Source organism: Homo sapiens, chromosome 1 (genome assembly GCF_000001405.40).
Source record: "Homo sapiens chromosome 1, GRCh38.p14 Primary Assembly".
In the NCBI taxonomy this organism is placed as follows: Eukaryota; Metazoa; Chordata; class Mammalia; order Primates; family Hominidae; genus Homo; species Homo sapiens.
The window spans coordinates 13,739,751-13,767,220 of NC_000001.11; the positions used below are offsets into that span (position 1 = coordinate 13,739,751).

At 40.9% G+C, this 27,470-nt stretch overlaps 1 protein-coding gene across 13 annotated transcripts in view, besides 5 other annotated features; it reads left to right on the plus strand.

The window, feature by feature from the left end:
* The window catches only part of PRDM2 (PR/SET domain 2), a 124,892-nt gene that overhangs the window by 39,563 nt on the left and 57,859 nt on the right, over positions 1–27,470 (plus strand). For 7 of the 13 annotated variants that reach the window (NM_001393986.1, NM_001135610.2, XM_047429994.1 and 4 more), the window contains 2 exons: positions 2,255–2,407; positions 9,611–9,737. In NM_001393986.1, the coding sequence (NP_001380915.1) occupies positions 2,255–2,407; positions 9,611–9,737 (280 nt within the window). Of the gene's footprint in view, positions 1–2,254; positions 2,408–9,610; positions 9,738–10,166; positions 10,405–10,669; positions 10,737–27,470 lie in introns of those variants that run through there. The other 6 variants (NM_001393987.1, NM_001393988.1, NM_001007257.3 and 3 more) reach the window with 4 other exon arrangements.
* Positions 9,299–9,688: a silencer, noted in NCBI's record as "silent region_289". NCBI's record gives its function as "represses an Ori minimal core promoter by ATAC-STARR-seq in GM12878 lymphoblastoid cells {active_cell/tissue: GM12878}" and the evidence as "EXISTENCE:reporter gene assay evidence [ECO:0000049][PMID:35858748]".
* Positions 9,299–9,808: a biological region, named in NCBI's record as "ReSE screen-validated silencer GRCh37_chr1:14075835-14076053".
* Positions 9,590–9,808: a silencer, noted in NCBI's record as "fragment chr1:14075835-14076053 (GRCh37/hg19 assembly coordinates)". NCBI's record gives its function as "represses an EF-1alpha promoter that drives an FKBP-Casp9 reporter gene in an ReSE screen in K562 erythroleukemia cells {active_cell/tissue: K562}" and the evidence as "EXISTENCE:reporter gene assay evidence [ECO:0000049][PMID:32094911]".
* Positions 9,759–10,068: a silencer, noted in NCBI's record as "silent region_290". NCBI's record gives its function as "represses an Ori minimal core promoter by ATAC-STARR-seq in GM12878 lymphoblastoid cells {active_cell/tissue: GM12878}" and the evidence as "EXISTENCE:reporter gene assay evidence [ECO:0000049][PMID:35858748]".
* Positions 10,319–10,368: an enhancer, noted in NCBI's record as "active region_220". NCBI's record gives its function as "activates an Ori minimal core promoter by ATAC-STARR-seq in GM12878 lymphoblastoid cells {active_cell/tissue: GM12878}" and the evidence as "EXISTENCE:reporter gene assay evidence [ECO:0000049][PMID:35858748]".

Below are 27,470 nucleotides of genomic sequence, written 5' to 3' on the forward strand. Positions count from 1 at the left end.
GTGTATATTTTAAATATATATATATATTTTTGGTCAGGTACTGCTAAATTCTTCACAAAATCAATTTGTTTTCTGTTCAGAGGTGTTTGGGGGAATATCTGTTTTTTCACACCCTTTCCTATCTTTAAGAAATTTTTTTTGTGTGCCCATTTAAAAGGTTAAAATTGTTTTGCTTTCAAGTTATTTTTTATTAACTAAGTTTAGTATTATGAGGTTTTGGCTACGTGTATTCGTTTGTGAATTACTTCTTGGCCTATTTTTAAAAATTGAAGTGTCATCTTTTTCTACAAAAGCAAGTATTCTCTTTTTGTACATCAGTCAGTATGACTTAGAAGATGCCTTAGTCTCCTTTGAAACAAAATGAGTTATGTATGAATAAAAATTGTACTCAACTGTAACACTTTGCTTTTTGCAAATGGCTGTATTGACCTGAGAGCCAGGAAGTTGTGGCACAACCTATATTTTTATCCTGAGGCAGGTAGATAGACTCCAGCTACCTTGTGAACTGTGTGGTTTTCTTGGCAACTATCTCTGTGTTTGTCTCCGTAGTCTCATCAGTCTCAGTAGCTGTGCCAGTATTTGGGTGGGGAGTGAGTGGGACTTTGCCATCACTGCAGTAAATTAAAATGAAACTTATTATCCCTGAGCCCAGGGGCAGTTTATGTTGCAGATGGGGTAATAATGTAAGTTACTGTGTACAGATACTCTCCTTGGTGCCTATGATGATTAAAGTAACTACAGTGCACCTTCTAGCATGGTACCTGTTACGCAGTAGGTGCTCATTAGATGTTGGTAGTTCAGTTAACTAGGATGGTCAAGGAAGGCAGTGATACACAGAAGACAAGGAGATCTGAGTCGAAGCCTTTCTTTATGACAATTAAACAGGTGACTTTGGGAAAGTTATTTAACTTTTGAGCCTCAATTTTCACATGTTGAAAGGAGAGCTAATAAGCCTGCTACATAGGGTTAAATGAGATAATATGTCAGGCATGTAGCATTATGCCTGATGTTTGACTTTCAAGAGGAAGAAGGCAGTGTTAGGGCCCGGTAAGGTGGATGCTGCCCCTTGGCAATCACAGGCCTAGACACCCAGGCATGCCCAGAAGAGCAGCATCCTCACCATCAGCGGGGGGAGTGGGAGCTTTGTTCCAGAAGGAAAGTTGCAGTAAAGAAAGGTGATTAATGTGGGTACGGGAGGGAAGAAGGCATGAGTGGTGGGAATAATGAGAAAGAAATGGAAACATCTAGATTATATCCTTTCTTCCTAAAAATAAAGTAAAAGACTCATTTCTTTTGCCCAGCACGTCTGTCAGCCAGTTGATTCTGCAGTTCTGTTTCAGTGCCTACTCGAGTGTTTTGTAGACTGGTTTTGGGAAAATGTGTATATGTATGCATGTATATACAAAATTAAAGTTAAAAATAGTTGCCAAATAGATGTTCTTTTAAAATGAAGGATGATAAATAAGTGCTGGAAGCATCTGTGGGAGGAATTGGTGTGGGTGAGAAGGGAAGGCTTCTTGCAAGAGGAGATTTGATTTGACTCCTGGAAGGGGTTGAGGTTTTGGTCCTTTTCTTTTTGAAGGCCACTGATATTTCCCAGAGTCTATTCCATCACCCCTTCATCCTTGCAGATGCTCTGGATGGAGTATGTTTTAAGGGTCAGTTGAGTTTGCAGAAGCATCATATCCTGTCACCCATGTGCCTGGTTCACAATGCGTGTTCACTCCTGAAGTCCCTGCCACCTCTGCCAGAAAGGGACCTGCTGAATTGTATAGCCCTGCAGGGCCAGGTGCCATACTCGATTAGCAGAGCAACCCAGAAAGCTTGGGATTTGGGTGCTGCTGAATACCACTGCAAGCTGTTTTCCTTTCTAAGTCACACTTTACAGAGCATAGTTGTCATTTGTCTCTGTGTACGTATTTGTAAAGCATTTGGAGATCCCAAGCATGCTGACTATAGCTCTTTAAGTTTGTGTGTGTGTGTGTGTGTGTGTGTGTGTGTGTGTGTGTGTGTGTAGGGGTGGGGGGCGCGGGGCAAACAAACCTAAATAGAAAAATAATGAGAATTACAGTTTCGAATTTCAGTTTTCACCTTGTATTTTTCTTTTCTCTGTCGCTTGTTTTGTTTTTATGAAATGCTTTATATAGAGTACTTGCATATAATGAAAAAGAATTATCCTTAAAAGTTAAAAATGGAGGCATTTTAAAGATACTCCTATTTTAACAAAAGTTTTTTACTTTTCTCCATTTTCAAGGTGTATTACCCAAATTTGGGATGGATGTGCATTGATGCCACTGATCCAGAGAAGGGAAACTGGCTGCGATATGTGAATTGGGCTTGCTCAGGAGAAGAGCAAAATTTATTCCCACTGGAAATCAACAGAGCCATTTACTATAAAACTTTAAAGGTAACAGCATTAGAATTAATTTACTGTTAGTTACGCTGCTTGTGTTTTCCTTTTTCTTTTTTTGAGACGGTCTCATTCTGTCTCTCAGGCTGGAGTGCAGGGGCTCCATCACGGCTCACTGCAGCCTAAGCCTCCCCAGCCTTGGGCGATCCTCGGACCTCAACCTCCCGAGTAGCCAGGACTATGGGCACATGCCACCACACCCGGCTGAGTTTTGAATTTTTTGTAGAGACAGAGCTTTGCTATGTTACCCAGGCTGGTCTCAAACTGCTGGGCTCAAGCGATCTACCTGCCTCAGCCTCCCAAAGTGCTGGGATTACCGGCACAAGCCACAATGCCTGGGCCTGCTTATATTTTTCTAATGCTGTCCTTAGTTGTGACTGACAATGACTTTGCAGACCTGGGAGGGATTATATTGGGAAGTGCTTTATCCACACTCTTAAGGTTCTGTGTTTTAATATATGGTTACCTGTGTGTGTCATGGAGCTAAAGCATGAAGATCGTGTTAAGTAATTACACACTGCATCTTGAAAGATACTGATGAGTTAAGCATGTGGCAGCTGCTTCCCTTCTCCTATGACACAGAGGCATTAGGAACTGTCTGGCAGATTTATCCTACTGTAAGAAACTATCAGTAGGTATGGTGGGTCTGTGTTAACTGAATACACACTGTTAGTCTCTGATATTAATGCAGCCTTGGATTAGCTTTTCTTTTCCCTAAATTTTACTCAGAATACAAATTGAACAGAACATGTTTCTTCCTTTCTGCCAAATTTTTCTTTGGAGATATTAATTGTTGAAAAGAAGAAGAAAGTCATGTTTTAGGATTGGTAATGAGGTTATGGAGCACATTCAGGGACATGAGTGTGAGGAAGCGTGGAGTGTTGCTGCATTTCTTTGTTGAGCAAAGGCCATATCTCCCTCATTTTCATGGGTCACATTCTTTAAGAAGACAGATCCGGACGGGCGCAGTGGCTCACGCCTGTAATCCCAGCGCTTTGGGAGGCCAAGGCGGGCGGATCATGAGGTCAGGAGATTGAGACCATCCTGGCTAACATGGTGAAACCCCGTCTCTACTAAAAAATACAAAAAATAAGCCAGGCATGGTGGCGGGCACCTGTAGTCCCAGCTACTCGGGAGGCTGAGGCAGGAGAAGGGCGTGAACCTGGGAGGGAGGGTTTGCAGTGAGCCAAGATCACACCACTGCACTCCAGCCTGGGTAACAGAGCAAGACTCTGTCTCAAAAAAAAAAAAAAAAAAAAAAAAAAAGACAGATCCTCACATTATACATGGAGATATTCTAAGGCAGAATTTCCAGCCTGTTAAGATGGATGGTTGTTGCTTTTTGCAATAGATAGCAAAATTGCTATAAGGCAAGTTTCTCTTTATTCACTTACTTCCATTAAAAATGTCATAGGTTGGAGAATAGTCTATGGAAAAAATGATCTCCATGGAGTTGAACACTTTTGATGAGCACACATTTCAAATTGTGGCCAGCTTTGCAGTGTGCTGTGTTTTGTTAGTGTAGTGGCAGTAGGCCTTCTGAAGTTTAGTTAACCTGTAGCTGTTTAATTTTGCTGCATCTTTCCTGACATTGTTAGCCAACTAGACTGCCTTTTATCACATTTATACCCAGGTCCTTGTATCCAGTCCCTGCAGATTTTTTGTTACACTTTCTTATTTAGGACTTTAAAAACCTTGTTTTCCATTTTTATTCTGCTGGATCGTAGTAGCATGCTTTTCTAGTAGGTATTACTCTACAATTTTCTTATATAGGAGTGTGAAGTTGGATTCAAGAATGCATTGTTTCTCAGAAGTATTTAAAGGAGAAATACATATGGTTGAATCAGTGAGGTTGAATCCTGGTGGAGATGAAATACTAGCTAGGGGATGAATATGAGACAATCAAGGTAATAGGAAGGAAGTTTTGGAGGCATGCAAGCTCATGTAGATATTAGGACACTGCAATTCCTTCATTGTACTTCAAGTTAAAATGTGTTCATCTCTGATGCAAATTCACAGAAACACTGAGAATCAAGATAGAATAGTGGTTAGGAGAGTGAACTCTGAAGCCAGACTGCCTGGGTTAGATCTTGACTTGCTGTGACCCAAGGCAAGTAGGTGTGACCTTATTAGCTTTGTAACCTTAGCTAAGTCCTTCTGTGTGCCTCAATTCCCACATTGTAAGATACAGGTAATTATGGTATTGACCTCATAGGATTGTTGTGATGATTGCATGGGTGAATACGGATAGAGCTCCAGCACCTAGTAAGTGCTTATACATGATTGTTGTTATTTTTCACAAGGTGGTATGGTGTCATGGTCAGGAGTGGGGACTCTGGAGCAGACTGACTTGTGAGCAAATTTTGGCTTCTAGATATGTGACCACGCAAAGGATCTCTCTGTGTCTTAGTTTTCTCATCCATAAAGTGGAGGTAATAATAAAACTGCTTCATAGTTTGTTGTGAAGGTTAAACAAGCCAATATATATATATATATAAGGTTCTGTGAACAGTTCTTAGTTCAGTGTAAGTCCTCAAGTGTTAACTAGCTATACTAGTACTATTATTTTTACCTTTGTCCGAAATAACATAGTTCTGATTTTTGCAGACCTCCCCCAGTCTTTATCTTTGATATCTGCTCAAGTATGTACAAAGCCTTTCAGATTTTTTACTAGTGATTATCTAACTCTATTCTTCTAGATTAAGTGTCCCGTGGGTTAGGCTTTGTGAAGAAATTACATGTGCTGCTCTGTGGGCTCTGTATCTTCTCAACTTATTATTATACCCAGATAATTGGGAAATCTCAACACTGGTTTTGTTTGTAATATGATTAGAAATGATTTAAAATTCCTGAAAGTTAGCTGTTAAATCTGCTATCTATTCATTTCTCTGTTCATTAGTTTGGTGAATATCTATTGAGAGTCTACTGTATACCAAGTACTCTCCTATAGTAGTGAACAGGACAGACAAGGTCTCTGGTCTGGAGGATGTTTCGTGTTATAGGGGAAGAGGCAGATAATAAGTAAATAAGAAAGTAATTTCTGGTAGCGATCAGTGTGTTAAGACAGGGAAATGTGATAGAGACTAGCTAGGTAGGAGAGGGCTGCTTTGTCTCCAGTGAGTCAGGGAAGGCCTTCCTGAGGACAGACGTTCGAACCCCACTCCTTGGATAGGAAGGAGCTGGCCATGCAAAAGGTCTGCTGGAAGAACAGTCCAGGAAGAGGAGTGGTAGGAGCAAAGACCTTGGAGTAGGAATAAGCTAATGGTTTTTTTTTTTTTTTTTGAGACAGAGTTGTGCTCTGTCGCCCAGGCTGGAGTGCAATGGCGTGATCTTGGCTCATTGCAACCTCCGCCTCCCAGGTTCAAGCGATTCTTCTGCCCCAGCCTCTTGAGTAGCTGGGACTATGGGCGCATGCCACCATGCCCAGCTAAATTTTGTATTTTTAGTAGAGACGGGGTTTCACCATATTGGTCAGGTGGTCTCGAACTCCTGACCTCGTGATCTGCCCACCTCGGCCTCCCAAAATGCTGGGATTTACAGGCGTGAGCCACCGTGCCCAGCCTTTTGTTTGTTTTTTATTTTAAAGGAATAGAACAAAAGCCCATGTGGCTGTAGGGAGGAGGAGAGGAATCTTAGGAGATGAGGCTGTTGAGGTCTGCAGGGATGGATGAGTTTTAGGCTTAAGTGCTGTTCACCCACTGGCGAGTTGAGGCCGAGATCTGACCTATGATTTTTTAAAAGACCGTGCTGGGGACTGGATCGTAGGTGGGTATGAGTGGATGTACTGTGTGTGTTTGAGTGATTCTGGAATACTTCTCTAATTTTCTAATATTTCTGACACATTTTTCTAATATTCCTTACCCAGTATAAGGAATATTAGAACTCTTGCTTCTTCCTGATTTGTTTGGTAAAATTTCAAGTTTTATTTTATATATGCTGATGTTTAAAGGAGAGAATATGGAGCAGATTCTTGGTTTTATACCTGTTTGAACCCAAAGAGAAAGTGGGAAGAGTTTAAAATCTTTGTTGTTGTTAATTTTTTTAATATTAAAATATATTTAAAAAGAGGTTGTTTGGTCTTTTGACTTTATTTTTTTAATGTGGATTTATATTTCCTTTGTTGAAGGGAGTAGTTTTTCTTTTCTTCTGAACTTGACTTAAAAATGCTAACCAGTACAGAAGAAAAAAACCAATATATTATAATATGGAAGAAAACAAGCCTTGGTTTAAAAAAAATACTATTATTTTTCCTCTTCATAGGGTCTATTGGTGTAGCTGTTTTAATATAAAGTTGCGAAGCATATATCGCTCCGTAATATAACCATTTCAAGTTGCTAATAATTTTTGTTTTGTTTTCTACTACTTGTTTTTATTTATTTATTTATTTATTTATTTATTTATTTATTTATTTTTTAAGATAGGGTCTCACTCTGTCTTGTGGGCTGGAGTGCAGTGACACAATCTTGGCTCACTGCAGCCTCCACCTCCCAAGCTCCAGTGATTCTCCTACTTGAGCCTCCTGAATAGCTGTGACTACAGGCACACACCACCATGCCTTGCTAATTTTTGTATTTTCAGTAGAGACAGAGTTTCGCCATGTTGCCCAGGCTGGTCTCAAACTCCTGCGCTCAAGCGATTCGCCTGCCTTGGCCTCCCAAAGTTCTGGGATTGCAGCCATGAGCCACTATGCCCGCTAATAATTTTGAAGGCTGTTTAGCAGCTAACGAATGTGTTCCTCTTGATCTAACACTTCACCAGTGCTAGAAATTTTATATTTGATTTGTGATACAGATTCTGGTGTGTTTTTACTTTGTGTGTTTTGCAGCAACAAGAATATCTTAGGACATGAGTGCCCTCCCAAGTAGAGTTTGTGTGGATATTTAACTTCACCAAGTTGCTAGTTCAGTTAGCACTTCACTGACAACTGCAGTGGAGTGAACAGGGAAACTTAAGCTCTTATTCTTAGAGGTATCTTGAAAATGTCCGGTGGTATCTTCTAGCCAGTTCTCTGGTTATACCATTTCAGTGGGGGAATATATGGGGAATACATTTGTCTTCACTCCTTCCCATGCTCTTTTTTGCATTGGTTTGAAGACTTTTCATATTTCTGAGAACTCTAGTCATTTCAAATATTAGTTGATACCACTTCAATATGTGACTTATAACAAAAAAATAGAGAAAGTATACATTTGGAATTTACACAATCTAGAAACAGTTTACTTTAACATAAGCCTGTTCTTTCAACAGATTAGTTCATCAGAATGCCAAAAGGCGTTCTTGATGGCTGTTTTAATTTATTAATATATATTAAAGTAAGTTTTTTGGTTAGATTTAACTGGTTCAAGAAGGGAAATCATGTATTGGTTCAAAAATAAGAAAAAGGCAGATTTTAGCCTTCTTAGGGGTGGGTGAGAGCCAAGGAAACAGCTGCCTTGTTTTAATTTAAAGAATTTAGAATATTTTTAAATTTGGACTGTGTAGACAGTGAGAGTTCTGCAGAGAATTAAACGAAGTAATATTCACTTTTGGGGGCTTTATCTAGACTAGAAGGTATGTTGAAGTGAGGAACTATTTTGTTTCTAAACCGTAGGTGGAATCTCCCTCCCCGCAAAAAAAAAAAAAAAAAAAAGAAACAAAAAACAAAAAGGATCACTCTCTTGGATAACCATTGTGCAATGATCCAAATCAGGAAGCTAACAGCAACACATTATTTTACTAGCTAATATGTACACCTTACTCAGGTTCTGTCAATTGTTCCAATCATGTCTTTGTAGGAAAAGAAAACGTTTCCACATTCAGTTGTTATGTCTTATGTGTTTGGCTGGTACCTTAGTCTTTGTCTTTTATAACCTTTCAGTTTTGAGAACTGGTTGGTTATTTTGTAGAATGTCCCAGAGTTTGAGCTTCTCTTATGGTTTCATCATGATTAGATTCGACGTATGCATTTTGGGCAGAAATCTACCAGAAGTGATGCTCTGTTTTCTGTGCATCGTATCAGGAGACATATGATGTTGGTATGTCTTATTACAAAAGTGTTGTTTTTTTTCTTTTGTAATTAATAAATATTTTATGGGGAGATATTCTGAGGCTATGTGTTTTGTTACTCCTCAAACTTTTACCTACTTTTAGCATCCATTTATGATTCTTGCCTGAATTAATCATTACTGTGATGATTGCCAAATGGCGCTTTTCTAATTCCAACATTTCTTTTTTACTGATTAGTTGGGATCTCCTTTAAGGAAGAGCTTTCCTTTTTATTTACTTGTTCATTCCTTCCTTTCTTCATTCATTCACATGAGGCTGGACTCACGGATTCTCATTTTATTCAGTGGGTTTTAGATAGAATTTTACTTGTATTGATACCCTTGTAACTTTTTTAACAGATCATTTGTTGTGAGAGAAACCAATAGGCTGTTTCCCCAAATTCTAGGGGTGTGAACTTTGCACTCAGTGGATCTTTTCTTCGGGATCTTGTTCTGGGTGGAATCAATTTGATGGTGGCCCTCACTACTTCCAGTCATACGTGGCTTAAGAATGTGATGGTTTAGGAGCATAATACATGGGAGATACTTCCTGCTGTATTTAAAAGTTAAAATGTGGAAGTTTGATGTCCGGTCCGAAGGGCGAGGCACGGACCTCCCTGGACCAGAGCAGGTTGGTGGCCCCGGGCGGCCTCCCGTTGGCGGCTCTGGGATAGAAACCGCGGCGCATTTGTAAGTGCTTGCGCGTGGTTCCTCCTCGTTGTCCTGTTGAAGTTGCTCTTGGTCTGGAACGCGCGCTAGTCGTTGTCTTTCAGCACTCCGCTTTCCACACCGCACGCTTTTCAGTTATGCTTTACATTTCTCCTCGACTTAGATTTCGTGAGCAAAATGGGCCCATGTTTTATTTTTTCTCGTGCGTGGGCCGTCGTGAGGCTTTAAACAGGAAACTGGGACAGCACCCGGGCTCCGCTACCCGTCACCGGGCCTTCCGCGCCCCTCGCCCCACGCCGCGGGTGCGGTCCTCCCTCCAGCAGAGGGTTCCGGGCGCCGGCGCGGCCCGCACGGGGCCGGGAGCCCTTCCTGCCGGCCGGGTGCGCGCGGCGCCGCCGACAGCTGTTTGCCATCGGCGCCGCTCCCGCCCGCGTCCCGGTGCGCGCCCCGCCCCCGCCAACAACCGCCGCTCTGATTGGCCCGGCGCTTGTCTCTTCTCTCCCCGCAGCCAATCGCGCCGGGCGAGGAGCTCCTGGTCTGGTACAATGGGGAAGACAACCCTGAGATAGCAGCTGCGATTGAGGAAGAGCGAGCCAGCGCCCGGAGCAAGCGGAGCTCCCCCAAGAGCCGGAAAGGTAGGAGCCCCCCGGCCCGCCCGCCCGGCCCCGGCGCCACGCCCGCCCAGGACGCCGCCCTGCCGCCCTCGCTGCTGCTGGCCCGACCGCGAGGCGGGTCGCGGGCTCGGGCGGCGGCGCCCGCGGCATCTCGGTGACCTTTTCCGGACTCGGCCCTGCCCCGGCCCCGCTCCCGCCCTGCGGTCCCGCTCGGGCCCTGCGATCGCTGCCCTCCCGCCCTGCCGACCCGGCCCCGCTGCTGAATCACGGCCGCCGCGCGCTCGGGCTGTTTCTTAACTTGTGACTTAGCTCCTGGGCGGCAGAAAGTGCGCGGACGGCGTTCCGGGGCCGGACGTTCCCCCGCTGGCACCCCAAGCCGCGCTCCGCAGCCGCGCGCACGGCGGGCGCCCGAGCTTTCTCGCGGCTAGCTTGACAGCCCCGGCTCCGCAGACTCGGGCCCGCCGCGCAGGACGCGGGCCGCGTCGGTCGCGGAGTCGGGGTGTGGGAGTGGGGGAGGCAGAGACAGTGAGAGACAGAGACAGGAGGCGGCGGGGAGGGCAGGGAGACTGCGGGTGCGGTGGGCTTCCGAAAGGATGCCCAGGGGGATGTGGAAGTTAGAGAGCGTGTTGTTTTGTCGTTTTGACTCAATTCTCATAGTTTTACGACTTCTGATGATTTCGAACAAAAGGTAAAGTGTAGTCACACTTAAAAAGGGAGGGGATAATTTCTGGGTAGGAAAATAGTTTGGTTGGCTGTATCATATTTCCAGTGGGCATACTGACACGTTGGGGCTTTTTTTTTTAATGAAGAATTTTAATGTGAATTGGGGAATAGTTCATAGATCCCAGTTTGAAAATATGCCAAGGCACAGTATGGTTAGTTTCTTATTGATACAAATACAGGTTTGTGTTTTTTGTTTTTTTGTTTTTTTGTTTTTTTTTTGCTCTCCTTAGGTCTTAAGTAGATTTCTTTTTAGTCATCTGAACGAACGAGTCCATCCTTTATCCAGAACATTGCAAAGTGAGTTGTGGAAGTCATACTGTAAATAAAATCATATCGTAAACTCGATTTGGGAAAATGTTAAAATCGGCATTAAGGAATGTAGGCAAGAAGTCTGTTCTGATTTTTCAAGTATGTATTCTTTGTATGTCACCACAAAATGGAAATAGAATTAATTCCCCCGTGAAACAGTTAGTAGGCCTATTACTGAATATGCATTGTCTATTTATTGAATGTGATGTAGTCACTGCTTCAGAGCATTAAATGCTTTTGATCCTGAATCAGACGATCAGAGTCTAGAAAATTCCCAGTTTTTTTTTTTTTTAACTTTTAACTGAGTTCTGGGATTTTATTGCTATTAGGCTTAGTGCTTAACTGTTTGTAGTGAAAACTTTTTATGTAATTCAACTTGTTTCTTTATTTAGTATTCATTTTGTTTATAACTAATGTTACCAGCCTTCCGGGTAAGTTATTTGTAGGGGGCTGGAGATGGGGAGGACAGTACCCTCTTTACTGTGCCACTAATCATAACTAACTCCTGTACTTAAATAGATTTGTAGTTTAATAGCAACCTTACTTTAACGCTTTTCTCTGTTTGGCATACTTTAGTGTGCATGTTTAGAACATATGTCATTACTCTTTTGCTTTTTTGTTTATCTGTTTATTTTTCTCTTGGTTGGATTTGGGGAAAAACTTGAACATATACTTTTTGTTTTATTAGTGATATATGAACTTAATAGCTGCATTTTTATACCTGCGTAGACTGTTGGTGTTTCGTATTAAATAGTTCATATTTCTTATTATCCTATTATTTTGTACTACTCTGGGCAGCCTATAACCCAGAATCCTAGGTTTTAATTAATTAAAAGACTTATGTTTATGCAGAGCTCTCTGTTGGAACTTACAGTCTGTTTTTAACAGCTTACTGGTTAAAGAGACCTATTTGCTCTTTAAGACTTAAACTTTGGAGAGTTTAAGTAATGAGTCAAACCTTTTTTACTTTTAAATTAAATACTCAGTTAAAACCAATTTATAGCTTGCAAAGACCTGAAATGGAGTCTTTTTTTTTTTTTTTAATTAACTCAGTTCTGTTTAGGTCTTATGTGTGACCTCAAACATTTAAATAATATCTTTTCAGGCAGTGATGTCAGAGAGTGAATCAACATAAATGTCATTCAGAGGCAGTGTTAACTTAGTATTGCTGAAAGCCGCATGTTGAATACATAGAGCCGACAGGTAGATTGACAGTGGGCTTGACTTCATTTTCGTTATGAGACAGAGAGAAAAACAAAGGGCTGAATTCTTCATAGTTCTGGACCTCAGCTCCTTTGCGTGACAGCTGCTATACTTACAGCTGTGCATTGCATGTGGTGCCTTTCAGAATTCATCAGATCGCTGGTGGATCATAAGGCGTGTTTGGGTAGAGCAAAGCCCTGATTTCTTTATATACAAAGTAGTGGCCCCTTCTCTCTCCCCTCATCACCTTTCTTCTCTCCTCCCCTCCCCTCCCCTCCCCATATTCATTCATTCATCTAATGTTTATTGAGCCCCTGCTGTGTACTAGGCACTCTGCTGGGTTGTAGCACACAGTGATGAGCAAAAAAGCAGCGGCGACTCTTCTTATGGCGCCGACAAACGTTAAATCAGTAAATAGCTGATCAGTGCCTAGACAGTTGGCATGTAGTAGGCCCTCAATAAATATTCATTGATTGGCAATGACTCACACAAATGTGTTAGGAAGGAAAAGAATGCAGTGCTATGAGAACACAGTTCATATTGTCTGCGACCTTGGAGCGTGCATTTTTGCCATGGGCCAAAGATGGATATACATCAGCATTTTAAACTGGACTTTAATTTGGATTCCCAGATTTGTAATTGAGCTTCACTTTTTACATATCTGAGCAGCCTCTGTAAAATGGAAAATAAGTTCCTTAGATGGAATAGATTAATCTTTCAGGTAGAGAGCAAGGAGGGTTTTTAGTGTCAGGTGTTTCAGGCTATTTTAATGTGAACCACAGAAAAATTATAATTATAAAATAGCATAGAAACGGTCAAATTTAGAAGTATTTCTCATCTTCTTGATTTCTGTCCCCTGTTTGTTTTGGTGAGAAATGAGAAATTGAATTTGCTTGTTAGCAGTAAGCAATGACTGTTGGCAAATGCTCTTCCAGAGTGTAGATTATAATAGCAGAGTGTTTTCCCTGCTCTCTCAGTTACATAAGAGCCTTAACCTGAAGTTCTTTTACCTGGAGAAACAACAGTGGCTTTCTACAAATGGGCTTAGTGGAAGGAATGAAAAAGACGGGATGCCTGGGCGTTTACCAGGTGTGCGATCTTGGACAGCTCATGTCACCTTTCTGAGATGAAGTTTCCCTAGCCTTAAAAATGAATATCATCATATCGATGATGCTTGTGCCACCTAACCTCACAAAGTTGTCAAGAGCAAGTGAGATAATAGAAACATGCTCTGTGAAGCTGTGGGCTCTTGGGAACTGTAAGTACCACTCCTTAGAACATGGCTGGCGTTTACTTCCCTGCTACTTGCGGAGGAACTACTGAGTTGGTGACTCATTTAATCAATGGGGATTTATGGAGCACCTGTGTAAGCCCAAAATAAGCACTGGGTCTCTTCTTTCCCTCTTCCCTCCTACGTCACAGCCTCATTCTGTGCTGATTCACCCTTATTTTAGGTTCTAACCTATTGACCTCGCTGTTCACAGCAAATTAAGAGAGAAGAGTTTATAGCGGCAAGAAGTTTTTATACCTGAAAGCTGGATAGTGAAGAAGACAGAAAGTTTATTACAAAATCGGTAATGAATTATAAAGAACAAGTTCCTTAAGGTCAGTTAGTAGGTTCAGATAGTCCTTCCTAAAAACCGTCAGTAGTGCCTGAGAATATCAGCTATAGCTTATAAGTATTTATCTCAGCGACTCTTAGTCACCACAGAACAGTTAAATTATAATCAGCTTAGCAAAGTAATATTTTATCTGTCTCTACGATCAGAATTGTTTAAATTAAAAACCTTGGTACTGTGACGACACTCAAGTTTTTTGAAATTGTACATATTTGAAATTCTTCTCTAAAGGTGCGAAATAACAAGCCTTTAGAAACTTAAAATATAGGGAGGTAAGACAGCCACATGCAAAGATAACTCAGTCTAAGGTAGTCTAAAAAAAGTGCAACACGGATGGTATAGGCAGTAAGGACTATTGACCCTCCCTAAGAGAAGGAAAAAGGGATGCTGAGCTGGGCTGGGCTGGCTAGGGAGCCTTTATGTAGAAAGAGTGGCAGGATGGGGATGTTTCAGAAGAGAGAGAGGAAGGAGGAGGACATCAAGAGGAACCTTGGGGACTGAGAAGTTGTGACTGTGTGGATGGTCTTCCCTTCTGTTACTTAACAAGTATTCCTTGCATCTGTGTCAGGCACTATTCTGGGTGCTGGAGTTTCAGCAAAGAACTAAAATGACAAGGGTCCCTGTTCACATGGAATCACATTCTGGAGAGTGGGGAGTACAGGCCAACAGATGAAGTAGGTAAACCTTGTCATGTCAGTAGTGTTTTGCAGGGTGGGTGGAGGAGGTATGGCCTGACTGTAGGTGGGAGATCAGGGGTGACCATTCTGAGGTTGTGACATAAGTGACACAGGAAGTTCTAGGGGCTGAGGTCTCCAGGAAGAGGGACCTAGTTCTATTAGCAGTTCTACTCATGTAGAAACCTACATGAGTATTTTTGGATTATGAAACTCAGTTCTGCAAATGGACATATATTGGCCCTTTTTCTGCCAGGCGCTGCACCAAGTGGCTGGGTTGGTTGGTGGGGGAGATGAGAGAGATGACTACAGCAGGCAGCATCCTCCTCCAGTGCGGAGTCTCCAGTCCGTTTCATGACAGCCACGCACAGGTCAGACTTAGTGGGTGTTCTGGTTGATGTGGGAGAGAAGGAAAAGGACACTTTCCAAAATTGGATAACTTGTCCAAGATCACCCTACCAATGAGTGTCACAGTCAGAATTTGAACCAGTTTTCCCATGCCTTTTCTTCTACATAATGTGGAGCTTTTTGTCCACTCCTACATGCAGTTGACAACAACAGAAGTGACAGCATTGGTTCCATTTAAAGTTGAACTTAGAGAATACATTTAATAAAAGCAGAGAGTGGACGGGCTTCCGTGGAGTTTGATCTCCTAACCTTTCGTAGCAGCCAGCAGCTCTGTTTCAGGCTCTAAGCTGAATGACAGAGGCCTGGCTGTGGTGTCTGAGGATGATGGTAGATGGGCCCTATGCCTACTGGGTGCCTGGTGGGCAGGTCCTGTGCCCACTGACTTATAGGGCACTGGCCTGTGGTTCCTGTTTGCAGGTGCTGGAGCAGGATGTGGAGTGCTTGGACATGGCAGTATTCCTGTGTCTGGCTTTTTGCTGGCAAGCTTGTGGCATGAGACACAAATGAGCTGTTTCTGGGTTGGTCAGTCTTGGAGGGGCCTGTCTCTGCTGTAGCTTTCTGGCTGCCTCCTAGCTGAGGGTGCCTTTGCTGAGCATTGAATGTCCCGTCTCTGGTGGTTGCCTGCCAGGATGAACTCTGCTGCTGTTATGGTGGCGGTCTGTTTTTAAAAGCTCAGTACGGTTTTAATTAGTAGTTTTTCAACAGTAGGAGTTCGGGAATTATAAAAAATTTGCAGTTCTGCTGCTGCTACTGAATTGCTCCAAATTTAGATGAAAATGTTGGTCAGTATTTTCGTTTTGTGCCTTTGATTCTTATGTCTATCCTTGTTTACAGGGAAATTATGTGGATTAACGTAAATTTTTCAAAGCATTTTGCAAATTTTTTAGCTGTATTTTAGTGGGTGGATTTGCAAAAATCCTAACATATGCCATGATTAAAAAGTTTTAAATATCATAATTGAGTGTATTGGGAACCATGCTGTGCCCTATTTTTAGGTGGTTATTTTGGTTCTCTTGTCCATATGTAAATTGGAAGGTAAGACTTGCCTAATACAGAAATAAAGTTCGATTATGATTAAATTTTCTAAACTATATAAAAGAGGTAACAAGATCCTTATAGTTAGTTCAAAATACTTTAGTTGATTTTTACAAATCCACTTATAATTTGAAAGTAAAAAACCTAATTTCCTGTGTTTTCCTTAAATATGAACACTAGGTTATTTTTCTAAATGATGAATTTTTATTGTTTTTTTTTAAACTCGTTCAGTGTTTTTTTTTCCCTAGACAATTTCATGTTCCAGTTTACAGATAGCTGTTACGACATTCAAACCTAATGTTCGTGGGAGCATTATAGAGAGGAGGGTGTAGTTATTTTATTTTTCAATAAAATAACTTTTAAAGTTTATTTATTTTGTAGAGACAGGGTCTTTCTGTGTTGCCCAGGTTGGACTCGAACTCCTGAGCTCAAGCTGTCTCCCTGCCTTAGCCTCCCTAATAGCTGGTATTACAGGCTTGTACAGGGTGTAGCTTTGTATTTAAAGTTGCCTCTAAAGAATTGAGGAATTGGAGGCTGGGCGCAATGGCTCACACCTGTAATCCCAGCGCTTTGGGAGGCTGAGGCGGGTGGATCACAAGGTCAGGAGATCGAGACCATCCTGGCTAACATGGTGAAACCCTGTCTCTTCTAAAAAAAAAAAAAAAATACAAAAAAATTAGCTGGGCGTGGTGGCGGGCGCCTGTAGTCCCAGCTACTCCGGAGGCTGAGGCAGGAGAATGGCGTGAACCCGGGAGGCAGAGCTTGTAGTGAGCCGAGATTGCGCCACAGCACTCCAGCCTGGGCAACAGAGCGAGACTCCTTCTCAAAAAAAAAAAAAAAAAGAATTGAGGGCTTGGATAAATATCCCAAGAACACCATTGTGGAGGTTAAAAATAGACTTTTCTTTTAGTTAAATGTTGTATGGTGAACTGAAGCTGAAGTTTCAGGTAGACTGGCATGGTACTTTGTTGGCATTCAGATGGCTTGTTTATATTTCACATGCTGCCAAGTACAGGCCTGAAGTTTTATTTTGACCATCCATCTGGCTCAGAGTGTTTTATTAATATTCCTAATTTGGTTGAAATAGTTTAGAGGAGCTGAATGACATGGAGAAACAAAAGTTACTTGAAAATGCTATTCTCTAAGTGAAAAAGAGAAATACTGCAAGTAGCTGTTTTTCTTTTTGCCACCCAGATTAAACCAGTTTTCATACATTACAAGAGTTCTTGGATGAATTCATTTATTACAATGTATTTTGATGTGGACATATGTCATGACTTGACACTTATTTGCACATCATGTCATTATGCCATGAATTGCTCACTTCTGTTGATGGTGACAATGACAGCAGTTACACTCGTTTCTAGCATTATGTTGGTTGCTCTGTGTATACCATAGCTAATCCTCCCAATAATCCTGCGAAGTTGAGATCCATATCCTCATTTGTAGAAGAGGAAACTGATGCTCCGAGGGGTTATGTGCTTTGGCCGAGTTCACACAGGTCCTAAATAAAAGGCTCTGTCTGTCTAAATCCAGTTTTTATGCATGATGTTTCTAAGTAGGACAGTTATACTGTATAAATTGCAGTGTTTTATTTGCTTTACTAACTAGCCAAGGTGAATTTTCACTGCTCACTGTAAGAAGTGCCCACTTTAATTCTAAATACCAAGACTATGATTAAGTGAAGTGTTTGGTGTAGGAGAGACCAGTCATGGTGACACCTTCAGCTGTTTTTGCTTTGGAGATTTATGGATTGCATAGGTATATTGTATTCCTTCAAACACCCCAAATAGTTTTTAAAAACACAGATTGCATTTTTACTGCTTTCTAGCTATTGTCTTTCAAGTGTTTTTTAAATGACATATTTGTTGGTTTAAGTTTCTAATGAATATTTTCTTTCTCTTAGGTTTTATATTATTTTGGCATTAGTTTTGAAACCAAAAGAGCACAGTAAGACATTGCTTTTGCCTAACTCCCTCTGCAGTGCAGAGGATCGAGTTTAGGATTATAGAGCTCTTTCATTTTGTCTTATTGATGAGAAGCTTTAGCTGTCAGCTCTGCAGCACTGGTCTTGTGTTGAGACTGGGTTAACAGTCTGGTTGTTCCACCAATAAAAATACACATTTTAAAGTTTTCTTAAGCTGAATGTTATATAGACAATGAACATGCTTTTTAATTAATGTGTAGTCTAAAGATTAATTACAGAAACTGTAAGTGCAATTCTGATTTGTTTGTGGATATAATTGAGTTACATCATGCTTGTTAGTCTTTTCAGCTTTAGGTGGTGACATTTTGTTTTTTATTTGTTTTGCCAAAATGTTTATTTGCAGAGGTGGATAGCTTTTTTTTTTTTTTTTTTTTTTAACTTTCATTTAAGAGGAATGCACATGAACTATTTGAAGCAGTACCTTCCTAAGAGGTTTTGTTTGCTGATAAAGCTTTCCTATTCTAGCTGCTTGACTCATACCAGAGGAGAAGCATTAAAGAAGACCAGAAGGTGAAAAGAGTCACCCTAACCTATCCATGTGTGCTCTTGAATTTTCCTAAGGAGGGGCACGCGTTGATTTCCTCATTGTCTTTATCCCACAATAGATTCTTAGAATATGTATGTCTATATAAAATTTTTAAAACTGCTTGAGTTTGTAGCCAAATGTAATGTGGCTTTTTCTACTTGGAACTTTTACTGAGAGTACTTTATTTGATTGTTAAGACTTAGTAAGTCGTAGCCAGGCGCGGTGGCTCACACCTGTAATCCCAGCACTTTGAGAGGCAGAGGTGGGTGGATCGCCTGAGGTCAGGAGTTTGAGAACAGCCTGGACAACATGGTAAAACCCCGTCTCTACTAAAAATACAAAAATTAGCTGGGCGTGGTGGTGGCTGGAGCCTGTAATACTAGCTACTCGGGAGGCTGAGGCACAAGAATCGCTTGAACTTGGGAGGCGGAGGTTGCAGTGAGCCGAGATCGCACCACTGCACTCCAGCCTGGGCAGCAGAGTGAGACTTTGTCTCAAAAAAAAAAAAAAAAAAAGTAAGTAGTTAACACCCGCCCCAACCACCCAAACATACTGTAGGCAAGGCAGAACTACAGTTTGTAATCTATGCTTTCAATTTTCAAAGGTCTTTAGCATTTTTCTTTCTGTTCTAACCTGTTCTCTGAAAAATAGGAGAAGGTAACTTTGTTTAAAAGGTTAAAACTTGGTGCGTATATTAAGAAAATATCCTAAGGGATTCTGGGTAAGAGACTAGAAAATTCTCAGTGTTCTGGAGCATTTATTGTAGCTGCTTGCTATTCCTGCTTCTGTGGCCATGATCCTGAAATTTAAAAATATTTTGATGAAAGTTTTAATAATCTAGTCAACGTGTAGTTATTTTAGATGCTTATATATTAAAAGTACATACCATTTTTTATTTTTAATAGACTATTTGAATAGTTTCAGAGGCAAGAGATTTATTCTAATGAATAAGATAATGATACTGTGTGTGTGGTATATAAAAATAACAGTTTATAAGATAAGAATATAACATCTAAAATACTGCTAATTTGATACTTTTCATGACTTTCAATTTTATATGTTCTTGTTAGTTTAATCAGTGTCTGAATGATGAAAAACTAATTTCACTCTTAGTGAATTAGCTGTCTGTTACCAGTTATGGAGAGTAGCAAAGGATTGGCCGGTTAAAAAGAAAACTAATTCAGCATTGCTTAGGCTAAAATTCCCCTACCCTTTTTTTTTTTTTTTTTAAATGAAAACTACAGCGATAAACAATCTTTTTTCTTGTATTTATAAACCTACCTCTTGGGGCAGTCTTTTGTAGATTTCCTGAAACACCACATGCCAGAAAAATGAAGGCAAACTGGTTTGTTCACCCATGTTTAGAACCCCAAGACGGAATTATGTGCAATGTTTGAAGTTGCAATGCCGTTTAGAATGGGCAACAATGCAGTTTCTGAGCCTTTTGTTATTCTTTTTACCATTTGGCCTCTCAGGTTCAGTTTTCATTCTGTTGCCAGTTTGAGATGTAGGATATGCCTTTCTGGTTCTGTTGGCTACATTTTTGTCTTTCATGTTTGGGATTATCAGAGCCTGCTTCTCTGGAATAAAGAGATTACTGGCCATAAGCAGAATGTCTAAGGGCCTGTGAGAAATGAGAGTTCCTACTGTCCACCTCTTGTCTTGGTGCTTTTGCCATGACGATGTTAATGTTGGTCATAGCTGGGTCCCAAGTCTTCTAATCTTCTGTAGCAGGTTTACGCTGTGGGCAGCACCATGATGATAATAGTTGTAGTTTTGATCTTTTATATGTGGAACAATCTCCTTGACTGTTTACACACGATGGACTGTAATTTTTGTAGGATTAGCACTAATGTTGAAATTATAATTTCCCTTTGATATCCAAGAAAATAAGGAAAAAGTATCAATAATAATAATAAATATCATATGTTGTCAGTGGTCTCAATCTTGGATTTTTGGACCAGGGGTTTAAGATTCCAAATCTACTTGATTTTAGGAATTTTGTTAATTGCTAAAGGTGTGATCCACAGTGTCCTTCCCTTGTTAGGTGGGTCATGGGCTTGTTTGATAAGATCAAATTTGAGTGGTAAGCTTAATACCTATTTTTAGTTATTATAAATCCAGGAATTCAGGATAGAAGATAATGTAAATTACTGTTTGTATGCCAAGATAAAATTTGGGGTTGTAGTAGAGTGCAGAAAATATTAAATCAAGAAAAAGTGATACTTACTCAATTTCTGTCTGACCCTTTTAAGTTTTAAAGACAGGATCCTATAAATCTCATGGGTGATTGTCAGAAAGTACATGGAATTGGTGAACTTTGTTTTCATAGCAAATGATTCTTGTGCTTCCCCCTACCTTCAGTTTCTATGCTAAGCACATTAAAAAAAAAACCTGCCTAAAAATTTTTTTTAGTGGGTGGGAATATACTGCTTGGGCTTCAGTGTTGCTTTTGCATTAGATGCAGATTGATCAGTACTTTGAAAATGGATAGCTTGTTTAAAATGAGCCTGGAGTGTGCGTGTATGTTGGCTGGAGGGGAGAGGGGGAAAGTTGCTGACCCAGCTATACCTTGAGTGTTAGGAGATGTGCAGCATGCAGAATTTATTGTGATACACCAGAACATAGCTTTGGAATTAAGAGACCAGATTCACATACCAGCTGCACCAGTTAATTGCATTGTGACTTCGGATGGGTTACTCTCCATGTTTTGGTCCTTAATTTTTCTGTCTATAAAATGGGAATATGAGCTACCTACCCTACAAGGTTGCTGTGAGCATTAAGTGAGAACATTATAGGAACATTCCTGGCACACCAACCTTTGGTTCATCCCATTGTAATGGTGGGCACCAGCAAAATACATTCTGTGGTAACTGCCGTTCTCTGGCCGGTTGGCACACTTCTAAAAAAAAAAAAAAATGAGCAGTTTCACCATCTTGTGTAACAAGTTCTCTTAAAATCCATATATTTTCCTTTTGCATCGTGGAGTGAATTAAGTGGGTTTCAAATTAGTTAAGAGTAAAGGGCCTGTTTGGATCTGCACCTAAATAGCTACATCGTGGCACTAAGGAATTCTTCATGTGCAAGAAACCTGCTTCTCTCTTAAAAGCTGTCTTGTTTCACTGTTAACCAAACGAGGACACCTGTGGTGACATAGGTTGGTGCATTAGGTAACTCTTGGAATTTGATTTGTTCCATTTGCCTGGGCAGAAGCAAACACGTCTCACTGTTTGCTCGTCTTACCTTTATGTGGTCCAAAGCACTCATGACAGTTATAAGAGGATTTTATGTGAATGAATTTTTCTTAACATTTTCTTAGGTATTAAATTATCAGACAGCCCTGAAAGTAATTGTGTGGGAGCAGTTTCAGGGCTGTATATGACAAATTTTTTTTTACAGTCTTTCTGGGTGTGAAATCAGGAAAAAAACAAATGGACGAAAGGACAGTTTTCTTAGAAGGTGCTAATTAATTTGACGATACCAGTTTTCCGGGAAGAAATGTCCCGATGATCTGTGCAGCATCTTGACTGGGCTTTCTGAGGAGTTGGAGTTCTTTTTCAGCAGTCGCACAGGTACATTCCTTCTGTTGATACACAATGCTTGTACAAACTCACAGCTTAACTTTGTAATAACACAGGAGTCCCTGACCCCCAGTGTTGTCTACCAAATGTTGTGTTTACGTCCGTTTGTGACTGGGGAGAAGGGCCTTAGGTGTTACTTGATACTCAGAAGTCTCCTCTCCGAAAGATTAAGAACCACCACAGTGAACCAGTATGTTCAGTTTTCAAACTCAAGCAGAGACAGTTAGGAGCAATAAAATCAGTAGGTTACAGACTTTAAAAATGAAATACACTCACAGCTTACACTGTTAGAGCATTAGTATATACTGATGTGGACATGAGTGAGTGAGTGACAGAATTCTCTCTAACTTCTGTCTTCATTGGACTTGTACATTTTTATAATAATATCTGGGTGGGATCCTGTGAATCAGCGGAGAACAAATGAACAAAACAAATGGATGAATTAGGAATTGTTAGTGGAAGCAGAACGCCATTGTCTTCATATGAAGGAACATATGCCGACAATTTAGATTTGTAGGCGTGCACTTTCTGTAATTTGTTTAGTAGCATCTGTGGATACTCCTTACAATCGATTCCATTTATTGAGTCTGTGCCAGGCACTGTGTGGCATTCGTTTTGTGCATTACCTCATTTACTTCTCTTTGACAACAGTATCCGATCAGTATTACCAGTATATATCAGAGCTGGTTCCCATCTGCCTCGAATGGGATTATTTCTTGTTAATCAAATCATGGCCCAAGGGCTGCGCAGCAGTGTTTCATGCTATTTCACTTTTATGGGTATCTGTTTTTGTGGACCAAACTTACCTTGAGGACCTACTATTGTGAGTGCCACCACCACACTGGGGAAGGGGACAAGAGCCTAGCCCACTGTCTCGCCTCAGTTAGCGTCAGCTCTTTGCAGGGAGCACGAGTAACCTTGGAGACACAGGAACCTGCTGGGAGCAGGTGAAATGAGTGCATAGGTTGAGAGACCCTTTCCACCAGCCATTGGACGCTGGCCTAGGAAGGACTCCTGTTTCAAGCCCTAGTCCTCTGTGAGCCTTCCTCCCAGGCTCAGTTTGTTCCCTGTGGTCATTACTTTACCCCTATATTGGCAAAAAATAGAAAAGCCTCAGCTCAAGGACAATGTGGGATAATCCTTGGAGACCAGCACCAAGGAAGATTGTGTGCTTCTGAAAGGCTCCATTCTCAGTGCCAGAGCCTGTTAGCAAGGCCAGGTCCACAGCGCGCGCTCCTCAGGCTTCCCGGCTTTACCTGGCTCCCTTGGTGGATGGAACTTTACATCCTCCCCTGCGATTATGTGGATGATGTGTCGGTCCGTGAGTGCTCATAGAGGCACAGCTGCAGGCAGGAGGTGGCTGGGGCACAGTTGAGATCCTCCACAGCAGTGGGATCTGTTTGATCAGCAGCAGTGGAGCTGAGTCTGAAAACCTGTGCTGGAATAAAAGTGCCTCATTTCATGGTGGGCCGAGTGATTAGGTAGCTTAGTATCTCTGTAAATGCTCTTGTTTTTATAAACCTCTGCTAAAATGTGGCATATTCAAATGCCGTTGCTTAGTCTTTGCATTTTTAAGAGAAGCAAAATAAAGGCTGAGGTAAAGAATGATGATCACAGCCAACTGCCAAGACATCGACCCTTAGGTTAATACTGGCAGGCATTCAACATGATTGTTTAAATTAGATATTTGATTTAAATAATGATGGGTATAAGAACCAAGTGCGGTGAACAGGAAAAAGAATATGGGGTATGTGGCTGTTTGGAAAGAGGAAACAGATGATTTTTTTGTTTGAAGTGATGATGTGTAGCATGGAATTGAAAGATGTCTACCAAAAGGTTAACAGGGTAATTTGAATGCTAAGCATTTTTGGCTATTTAATGGTATCTCTTGTATTTTTAATCCCTTTAAAGTCTTTATAACTGTGTGTCCATTGTGGGTTTGATGTTACTGGGGATTGTGGTTTTTTTCCTGAACGGTTTTCCTGAGTTTTATGGGTAGGCAGTAGACAAGAGAGAAACACTTGAGCAGTACTTTTTGCCATCTAGGCCAAGTACAAAGTAGAGGCTTTTTCCAAATAGCACTTGTAAAACTGCGTATTTTACAAAATTTTAAAGTGTTATATTTTGTCTCAACCAATAAAAACATTTTCAATTATCTCATTGTTTTTACTTTTGTTGGCGTCTTCTTTATGAAAAATCATGTATTCATTTTTTTGTGTGTAATGTAACCAAGTGCTCATCTGAGAAAATACAATCAGATAGAAATATCATACCCTTATCAATACTCTCTCACTGGGAGCCACCTGCCAAAATCTGAATGTATATCCTCTTGATTTTCCTTAAATTTATCTCTGTGGATATATCGTAGCCTGATTTGATTAATTAGTCATGTGGCTTGACCATTGTTCATATGGGCATTTCTGTAACCAAATGTGAAGAATGAATTTTGAGTGTTTTCATTGTATCTTGTTTCATATTTATGTCAAATTTTTACTCCTTGAAAATATTTTAAAACGATGTTGTAGTTAATTCATCAGGATGCAGTATTGTAAAATTTGTCATGGGCTTTAAAGGGGGAAACATGATTTTCTTCTTAGCTGAGAGTAAGCAATTCTCGAGGGCGTGGCTGTCTCTTCTGTTTTCAGGGTTGCCAGGTACTGGAAATGCACCTCCTCTACAACACCTCCCACTTTGGTTTTTTCAGCCACGGGGGGCTGAGTCCATAAGTTGAATTAGGTTCTTTATTTTGTAGTTGCCTCGTCACTATTTATATGTAAGGTTTTCAGATTTTAGGTACATTTTTCAGGCTACTAAAAAAACGTGAGAAAGAAACCTAGAAATTGATTATGAAGTAGAACAGGTCAGCATCTTGTTTATATTTAATTATTCTCCCAAATCATTTTGTTCATGCCACAACACTTTTTGAGGCTCCAAAGAAGGTAAGGAAACTTAATGCTTTCTTATCTTGAATTTGGTGAAGTTTGTTTGGGAAGCCCTTTCTTAAGATGTGGAATTATCCAGTCAAAACCACTGAAAGCCTTTTTCTGACAGCATAAAAGCTCGGACTCCCTTCCGATGGATCTTTGCTATTCTCCTATCAGCCTGACATTTGGAAGAGTTAGGGTAGCCTGCAGCCTCCACAGCTGCAGAGGCTGTGCAACAGCCCCCCTGGTGGGAAGCAAGCATTTCAGGAATTTATACTGCAATCTGCAGAACTGCAAAATCTAAAACTTTTCCATTGTTTCTGTTGGAAGCAAAACCTAGAGTTGTGTTTTAATACCATGAGCTACCTAAAACCAGAGAGGTTTTATTTTTATAATTTGCCTCCAGGATTACAGATAGTTCTTGGTGACTTTAACTGCAGAAAAAGATTTGAAATTATGCCAAACGAGCTTAACAGAATTTTTTACTGTCAGATAAGTTTCAAAGTTATTTTAAGTGAAAAAGGAAACTATAGAAAATGCATGGCATGTTAACTTTTATAAAAACTAACTGTTGCAGTGTCTTACTACTTCAGATCTATGGGGCTTGCTTTGCCACTGATCGCGCCTTGACCAGTTGTAACAGCCACTTGTGATCCTCTGATAACCACACCCACCCCGCTGCAAACCTTTCTGAAAGCATTTCTGGTTGAGGCACACTGGTGCCCCCATCAGTCCTTCTGCCCAAGTCTCCCAGTTCTTTTGTTAATGACATTTGATGACTTCCAGAGTACCAAGTCATTCTCTTACATTAAAGCATACATTAAGAATATTGAAATGAACTGTTAATTCCTTATGGAAAACTTAATTTTAGGTATCCATTTCCAGCTTCTCTCTTCCTCTCTATCATCAACCCAACTGTAGAACGTTAAACTACTAGGCACATATGCAGCAGAGCTGAGGTCTAATTCCAGTCGACCTTCACCATCTCACACATAGCATCACTTGGCTATTCTTTTGTTTTTTTTTTTGAGATGGAGTCTCGCTCTGTCACCCAGGCTGGAGTGCAGTGGCGGGATCTAGGCTCACTGCAGCCTCCGCCTCCTGGGTTCAAGCGATTATCCTGTCTCAGCCTCCTGAGTAGCTGGAATTACAGGCGCGGTGGTACCGCGCCTGGCTAATTTTTGTATTTTTAGTAGAGATGGGATTTCACCGTGTTGGTCAGTCTGGTCTCGAGCTCCTGACCTCGTGTTCTGCCTGCCTCGGCCTCCCAAAGTGTTGGGATTACAGGCGTGAGCCACCGCACCTGGCCTGCACTTGGCCATTCTTAAGATAACAACTTTGCCATTATCCATCGATTCCTCTTCCTTACCAACACAATCTATTACAGATTGTAATTTTTAAAAATTTTATAGGAGTCATTTAACATGTACTTTATACTTTTCTCCTCCCAGTTAAGCCTTTTCATCTTGCTTTGAGAACTCTAACTTTACTCCAAACCAGATGTATCCTGAGTGATACTAGTGCCACAGCTGGCCTGCTGTCACGAAAGACACCTTTGACTTTGAAAAATTTGAAAGGCTGTATATTATAATGCATTGCTCATTCTTACCTGAAGTGCAGGTGACGGAGATGACCTTCAAGGCTCTTTTTGCTCCAGAGTGTTCTGGTTCTTCTCTCAGCCTTGAGCATAGTGAGTTCAACATCTACCCTGTTCCCTAGGGTCTGTGCCCTCAGCTTAGTCATATGCTTTTGTCAAAGCCTTTCTTCAACCTAGTGTGAAAGCATGGTTCCAGTCTTCAGTTTCCTAGGAAGGGCCCTCTTATGTAGGGGCAGGAAGAAGAGGAAGACTCTGCAAAAGGGTGAGATTCTAGATAGTAGTGTCTTAAGGCTGGGACGAGGAATTCTAAGAATGAAAGAAATACCAAGTTGTCAAATGTGAAGGAGAAACTTGGGGCAAATAAAGCCTGAAGAACTGTTGGGTTTTGTAATTATGGTATTAGTGATAGCCATGGGAATTGGATGCCTGTAGAGTAGAGAGGGTGGAAATTCAGTTGCAAGGATGAAGGACTGATGGAGGGCAGAGGAACTGGAGGCAGCAGGCACAACCCACCTTGGTGAGTTGGTATCAGCCCTGTTGGGAAGCCCGTGTCCTCGATGACCATTCATGGTACAGCTGTGGAAATCTCCCAGTTGGAGTCTTGTCTGCTTTGGAACCAACTGTGAAGCTCCCCAAGTGAAGATCGGATGGACCTAACTTCTGTGCACAGATATTTAATTCTGATTTTATCCTTCAGAGTTGGATAGCTCCCCAGTGAGGAGGCAGCACATCTAGAGTTACATATAGTTTTAAATTTAATTCATTTAAATCACCAAATGCATGAGCCTTCACTGTTGTGATGAATTTTTAATGTAACTTGAGCAAGGCTCCCAGAATTTTGCATTCTCTCTACTGCCTGAACATTTTAAGGTGAAACATTATTCTCTAGAATTTCCTACTGTGTCTGTCCAATTTATTAGGCTAGTAGAACATAGTCCAGACCTAGGTTAAATTTTTCATGTGACGCTTTAGGCAATTTTAATTTTGTAACTCATATCCCAGGCATCAGTGGTATAATGCTATACATAGTCTTAGAAAATAGTCATTATGGCTGTTGAATGTCTTTGTATGGTAACTATTTCACTACAAAATCCAGTTTTATTGATATTACTCAGTGGTGAATCATACTTGTTCAGATCAGGGTTCTGTGCTGTTGACTTGTTTCTGG